Genomic DNA, 7,513 nt, shown 5'->3' on the forward strand with positions numbered 1-7,513 from the left:
TCTGAGACCCAGAGTTACACCATCAGCTTCCCTGGTTCTCAGGCCTCCAGACTTGGACTGAGCCGTGCTAACAGACTTCCTGGTTCTCTAGCCTGCAAATGGCCTATTGTGGGACTTCACAGTCTCCATAATTGTGTGAGCCAATTCCTCTAATAAATTCCTTCTCATATGTCTATATCCTGTTGGTTGTGACTCTCTGGAGAACCAACAGGATTCTGACTAATAATATATTTGTAACTTGCAATTTAATTTGGTTGAAAGATAGTCATTGCAGATTTGTAATAGCTGGGAATTTAAAATAATCTAATGTCCATTCACAGGCTAATTATAGAACCATATATACCTCACAATCTCATTTTTATAAAAATCATGTAGTTTTATAAACAGAAATAACTGAAAAGCTATTTGTCAATCTGTTAATGATGTCACTATAGAGTGGGACTGTGGGAGACGTGCTTTTCTGCCAGTGTATTTTTCAATTATTTGAATCTTTTACAAAGTTTTATACTACTTTTATAATCAATAGAAATCGTGCACATACTCATTTTGGGAACTTCAATTGCCTTGACTACTTTCTGAATAGGAAATAATAAAAAGCAAATAGTTCATTCTTATGTGTAGAACTGGGTAGTGCATGGCAGTAATCAAAACAATCCAAAGGCAAAATGACATATGTCAAAGACTGGTGCTTATCTTGAGTGGTGGAATGATAGGTGAATTTTATTATTAATATTTTTGCTTTGTGCTTTTCTGTGTTTTCCCAGTATTCTGTATCAAGCACGTAATGCTTTTGCAATTAGCTGGAAAGCTAGAGTGTAAATGTTGCAGATGCAAGCAGAAAATGAGAAAGCTTTCAAATAAGACTACCCTCTTCTCTGTGCTAACCTCTCTTAACCAGGGCTATATCCTCCAAAAATATAAAAGCATTAACTTGACCTTCAGCAGCCCTTGTTGTACAGTTACACTTTTTCTAGCTCCTACCTGCTAAAATAATCTTTCAGCCCACAATGAGAGATTAGGACCTCAGGTAAACAGACCTGGCTGGGTCTGATTCAGGAAGAATCCAGGAACCCGCTTTGCTTAATAAGTCACCATGGTATGGCTGTTAGAGTGAGGCTGTATTGTGCTTTGCTGGCAATTGCCGGCTAATTGAGCCTCACCTTTTTTTTTTTTTTTTTTTTTTTTTTTTTTTTTTTTTTTTGAGACAGAGTCTCATTTACTCTGTCACCCAGGCTGGAGTCTGGAGTGCAGTCGTGTGATCTTGGCTCACTGCAACCTTCTCCTCCTGGGTTCAAGCGATTGTCCTTCCTCAGCTGCCTGAGTAGCTGGGACTACAGGTGTGCATCACCACACCAGGCTAATTTTTATATTTTTAGTAGAGACGGGGTTTCACCATATTGTCCAGGCTGGTCTCAAACTCCTGACCTCAAGTGATCCACCCACCTTGGCCTCCCAAAGTGCTGGGATTACAGGCGTGAGGCATCGCACCTATCCTTAACTGTAATCTTAAAGAGAGAAACCAGGAAAGACAATTCTCAAACGGAACTTAAACTCTCATCCCCTCCATGGGTTTGTCAGTGTGGCCAGTACAAAGGGTGGTTGGTCAGTCAGAGCCAGTACGAAGGTGATTAGTCAAAACGATTTTCTGAGTGATTGTCTGAGAGAATGACCAAGCCACCTCCAAGGCTACGATCCTACTTGGGGATCAAGAGTTAAGCGCCATGGAAGCCCAAGCTGCAGTGTGCACTGTTTGCCATGTCTACGGGAGCAGGCACCATTCATATATGTGTTAAAAGCAAGCTGGTCACTGTGCTAAAGCTGACGGCTCTCGTGTTTGAGGAACACATATCTCATGACTTACACAAGTGGAAAAAAAAAAGAAAAAAGAGTTCCTCAGTAGAAGACAAAAGGAAGTGCTGTAAGTTCAAGTCAATGAGGAAAAGGAGACTGGAAGTTAGTGTTCAGAAGAGGGTGGTGATGAGGAGAAGTCTTCTCTTAGGGAGTAAGTCTGAGCTTCCCTGATCTGTGTAGGTGGTGCCTTGAGGCACTGAGGGGGATCAGAATGATTCCTTCTCCTGGGCAGTGTTGGTGAGAGATGCCTAAAGGTAGAGAGAGAAGCAGCCTCTTGAAAATTGGTGTACCCAGGCAGAAAATTCTTGTTCCTCTATGTCAGTGATTCCCCCACCCCCACCCCAGCATTTAATTTTGAAAACTTCAAATATACAGAAGGTTAAAAAAAAATTGTGGTAAACTGTCATATACTCACCATCTAGGTCCTACCATTAACATTTTAGTGTGTGTGTGTGTGTGTGTGTGTGTAAAAATCTCCAACCCCCATCCATCTTATTTTTTATGCATTTCAAAGTAGGTTTTCACATTGAATACATATGGACACAGAAGGAACAACAGACACAGGGACCTGCTTGATGCTGGAGGGAGGAGGGTGAAGACAGAAAAACTACCTGTCGGGTAACTGTGCTTATTACCTGGGTGGCAAAATAATCTATACACCAAACCCCCATGACATGCAATTTACCTTTATTACAAACCTGCACATTATTCCTCAACCTAAAATAAAAGATTTAGGAAAAAAAAGAAAATAGAAGGTTGCCATGGGGAGGAGAAAACAAGGAGTTGTTAACAGGCATGAAATTGTAGTTTAGAAGATGAAAATGTTCCAGAGATATGTGGTGATGGCTGCACAACAATATGAATGTACTTAATACCACTGAACTGTACATTTAAAAATGATTAATATAGTAAATTCTGTTATATTTTACAATAAAAAAGTTAAAAACAAAAACAAAAGTAGGTTTTAGACATCAGTGTTTTTCTTAAATAGTTCAGTATGTACATCATAGAGTTGAATATTGATTTACTTTTTTCTTTTAAGGTAAAATTTTCTTTTTTTCTTTTTTCTTTTTTTTTTTTTTTGAGACGGAGTCCTGCTCTTTAGCCCGGGCCGGATTGCAGTGGCACAATCTCGGCTCACTGCAAGCTCCGCCTCCCAGGTTCATGCCATTCTCCTGCCTCAGCCTCCCGAGTAGCTGGGACTACAGGCACCCGCCACCGCGCCCGGCTAATTTTTTGTATTTTTAGTAGAGACGGGGTTTCACCGTGTTAGCCAAGATGGTCTCGATCTCCTGGTCTAAGGTAAAATTTTCAAAGAACGAAGTGAGTCTCTTGAACTTAGGAATTTGAGACCAGCCTGGGCAACATGGTGAAACCCCGTCTCTACCAAAAATACAAAAAATTAGCCAGGGGTGGTGGCACGTGCCTGTGGTTCTAGCTACTCAGGAGGCTGAGGCAGGAGAATTGCTTGAGCCTGGGAGACGGAGGTTGCAGTGAGCTGAGACTGAGCCACTGCGCTTCAGCCTGGGTAACAGAGAGAGACCCTGTTTCAAAAAAATAGATACAGACAATTACAAAAACCCAATGAAGTTCTCTTATACCCCTTCCCACTTAATTCGCACCTCCTCCCCACCAGAGGAAACTACTGTTCTAATTTTTTTCCACCACAGAACAGTTCTGCTTGTTCTAGAACTTCATGCAAATGGAATCATATAATATATACTCTCAAATAAGGCTTTTTTTCTCTCAGTATATTTTTGAGATTCATCCCTGTTGTTGCATATATCAATAATTCATCCCTTTTTATTGCAAGTATTCCCATTGAATAAATATATGACAGTTTGTTGATTCATTCTGCTATTGGAAAATACAGGAGTTTTCAGTTTGGGGCTATCGTGAATAAAGCTGCTATAGACATTCTTGTACAAATCTTTGTGTGAATGAAAAGAAATGTTTTCATTTCTCTTGGGTAATTACTTGGGAGTAGAATTGCTGAGTCATAGGGTAGGTGTATGTTAGTTTTACAAAAACTTTGCAGCCCTTTTTGCAAAGTGCTTATACCATTTCATACACTCACTCCTGATATATGAGAATTCCAGTGATTCTACGTCCTCACCAGCATTTAGTGTCGTTGGTCCTTTTTAATTTTAGCCATTCTGGAAGGTGTGTTGTGATGGTTCATTGTGATTTGAATCCGCATTTTCTAGGCCAGTGGTTTTCCAATTTTGGTGTGCTACAACACACCTGGGGTGCTTGTTAAAGTATAGACTCCTAGGCCCCAACTAGAGAGTGTTTGTGTGTTTATTAGTATTTGTGTTATATTTTTATTTGTTAAAGCTGGTAACCTAAACCCCAACACAGTTTTGAATTCAGAAGATCTGGTGGGGTTGAGGGCAACAGGTGTCTGCCTCTTAACTAGCTCCCTGGAGATTCTGCTGAATGTGGTTCAATAGACCAGCCCTGAGAAACTGGCCCTCTGGGGGTTGCAAACTGACATATTTGATATCGGTGTGCATTCACTTTTACCTGGCAACTAGAATTGGTCCAATTTCTTCCAATGGTGGTACATGGGTACTTTTCATGCTTAATAAAAGCTTTACTGCTACTATTTTAATCTTCAAAAATTGGAGACTTCAGGGATGAATATATTGTCTCATGTAGAGCAAAAGAATCTAGATTTTCTGAACCAAATTCCAAAAGAAAGATGTTTCAGGAAACTGTGCCAAAAACAAAATCCATAATTTTCAGGTATCTACAATCAGCATATTATTCTCAAAAACAATTTTATGGGTCAGAGATGAAGAAGCTGATTACCATAATCTTATTTCCATGAATGGGTTAATGTATTTGATAGTTTTATCTAATTCCAGTAGTTTTATAGGCCTGCATAGCCTAATGGCAACTGGTAGGAAAAAGATTGAAAATACATAGGCGTGGTGCCAACATGGCCGAATAGGAACAGCTGCGGTCTACAGCTCCCAGCGTGAGCGACGCAGAAGATGGGTGATTTCTGCATTTCCATCTGAGGTACCGGGTTCATCTCACTACGGAGTGCCAGACAGTGGGCTCAGGACAGTGGGTGCAGCGCACCGTGCGCGAGCCGAAGCAGGGTGAGGCATTGCCTCACTTGGAAAGTGCAAGGGGTCAGGGAGTTCCCTTTCCTAGTCAAAGAAAGGGGTGACAGATGGCACCTGGAAAATCGGGTCACTCCCACCCCAATACTGTGCTTTTCCGACGGGCTTAAAAAACGGTGCACCAGGAGATTATATCCCGCACCTGGCTCGGAGTGTCCTACGCCCACAGACTCTCACTGATCGCTAGCACAGCAGTCTGAGATCAAACTGCAAGGCGGCAGTGAGGCTGGGGGAGGGGAGCCCGCCATTGCCCAGGCTTGCTTAGGTAAACAAAGCAGCCGGGAAGCTCCAACTGGGTGGAGCCCACCACAGCTCAAGGAGGCCTGCCTGCCTCTGTAGGCTCCACCTCTGGGGGCAGGGCACAGACAAACAAAAAGATGGCAGTAACCTCTGCAGACTTAAATGTCCCTGTCTGACAGCTTTGAAGAGAGCAGTGGTTCTCCCAGCATGCAGCTGGAGATCTGAGAATGGGCAGACTGCCTCCTCAAGTGGGTCCCTGACCCCCAACCCCCGAGCAGCCTAACTGGGAGGCACCCCCCAGTAGGGGCAGACTGACACCTCACACGGCCAGGTACTCCTCTGAGACAAAACTTCCAGAGGAACGATCAGACAGCAGCATTCGCGGTTCACGAAAATCCGCTGTTCTGCAGCCACTGCTGCTGGTACCCAGGCAAACAGGGTCTGGAGTGGACCTCTAGCAAACTCAAACAGACTGCAGCTGAGGGTCCTGTCTGTTAGAAGGAAAACTAACATACAGAAAGGACATTCACACCAAAAACCCATCTGTACATCACCATCATCAAAGAGCAAAAGTAGATAAAACCACAAGGATGGGGAAAAAACAGAGCAGAAAATCTGGAAACTCTAAAAAGCAGAGCGCCTCTCCTCCTCCAAAGGAACGCAGCTCCTCACCAGCAACAGAACAAAGCTGTACGGAGAATGACTTTGACGAGTTGAGAGAACAAGGCTTCAGATGATCAAACTACTCCAAGCTACAGGAGGAAATTCAAACCAAAGGCAAAGAAGTTGAAAACTTTGAAAAAAATTTAGAAGAATGTGTAACTAGAATAACCAATACAGAGAGTGCTTAAAGGAGCTGATGGAGCTGAAAGCCAAGGCTCAAGAACTACGTGAAGAATGCAGAAGCCTCAGGAGCCAATGCGATCAACTGGAAGAAAGGGTATCAGTGATGGAAGATGAAATGAAGCGAGAAGGGAAGTTTAGAGAAAAAAGAATAAAAAGAAACGAACAAAGCCTCCAAGAAATATGGGACTATGTGAAAAGACCAAATCTACGTCTGACTGGTGTACCTGAAAGTGACGGGGAGAATAGAACCAAGTTGGAAAACACTATGCAGGATATTATCCAGGAGAATTTCCCCAATCTAGCAAGGCAGGCCAACATTCAGATTCAGGAAATACAGAGAACGCCACAAAGATACTCCTCCAGAAGAGCAACTCCAAGACACATAATTGTCAGATTCACCAAAGTCGAAATGAAGGAAAAAATGTTAAGGGCAGCTAGAGAGAAAGGTTGCATTACCCACAAAGGGAAGCCCATCAGACTAACAGCTGATCTCTCGGCAGAAACTCTACAAGTCAGAAGAGAGTGGGGGCCAATATTCAACATTCTTAAAGGAAAGAATTTTCAACCCAGAATTTCATATCCAGCCAAACTAAGCTTCATAAGCAAAGGAGAAATAAAATACTTTACAGACAAGCAAATGCTGAGAGATTTTGTCACCACAAGGCCTGCCCTAAAAGAGCTCCTGAAGGAAGCACTAAACATGGAAAGGAACAACCAGTACCAGCCACTGCAAAATCATGCCAAATTGTAAGGACCATCAAGGCTAGGAAGAAACTGCATCAACTAACGAGCAAAGTAACCAGCTAACATCATAATGACAGGATCAAATTCACACATAACAATATTAACTTTAAATGTAAATGGACTAAATGCTCCAATTAAAAGACACAGACTGGCAAATTGGATAAAGAGTCAAGACCCATCAGTGTGCTGTATTCAGGAAACCCATCTCATGTGCAGAGACACACATAGGCTCAAAATAAAAGGATGGAGGAAGATCTACCAAGCAAATGGAAAACAAAAAAAGGCAGGGGTTGCAATCCTAGTCTCTGATAAAACAGACTTTAAACCAACAAAGATCAAAAGAGACAAAGAAGGCCATTACATAATGGTAAAGGGATCAATTCAACAAGAAGAGCTAACTATCCTAAATATATATGCACCCAATACAGGAGCACCCAGATTCATAAAGCAAGTCCTGAGTGACCTACAAAGAGACTTAGACTCCCACACAATAATAATGGGAGACTTTAACACCCCACTGTCAACGTTAGACAGATCAACGAGACAGAAAGTTAACAAGGATACCCAGGAATTGAACTCAGCTCTGCACCAAGCGGACCTAATAGACATCTACAGAACTCTCCACCCCAAATCAACAGAATTTACATTTTTTTCAGTACCACACCACACCTATTCCAAAATTGACCACATACTTGGAA

The 7,513-nt window shown here is 42.2% G+C and overlaps 2 annotated features.

The window, feature by feature from the left end:
• Positions 4,665–5,274: an enhancer, noted in NCBI's record as "H3K27ac-H3K4me1 hESC enhancer chr14:36653639-36654248 (GRCh37/hg19 assembly coordinates)". NCBI's record gives its function as "activates a minimal SCP1, AML or CMV promoter by ChIP-STARR-seq in primed H9 embryonic stem cells {active_cell/tissue: H9 hESC(primed)}" and the evidence as "EXISTENCE:reporter gene assay evidence [ECO:0000049][PMID:30033119]".
• Positions 5,275–5,882: an enhancer, noted in NCBI's record as "H3K27ac-H3K4me1 hESC enhancer chr14:36654249-36654856 (GRCh37/hg19 assembly coordinates)". NCBI's record gives its function as "activates a minimal SCP1, AML or CMV promoter by ChIP-STARR-seq in primed H9 embryonic stem cells {active_cell/tissue: H9 hESC(primed)}" and the evidence as "EXISTENCE:reporter gene assay evidence [ECO:0000049][PMID:30033119]".

This window comes from Homo sapiens, chromosome 14 (genome assembly GCF_000001405.40).
Source record: "Homo sapiens chromosome 14, GRCh38.p14 Primary Assembly".
In the NCBI taxonomy this organism is placed as follows: domain Eukaryota; kingdom Metazoa; phylum Chordata; class Mammalia; order Primates; family Hominidae; genus Homo; species Homo sapiens.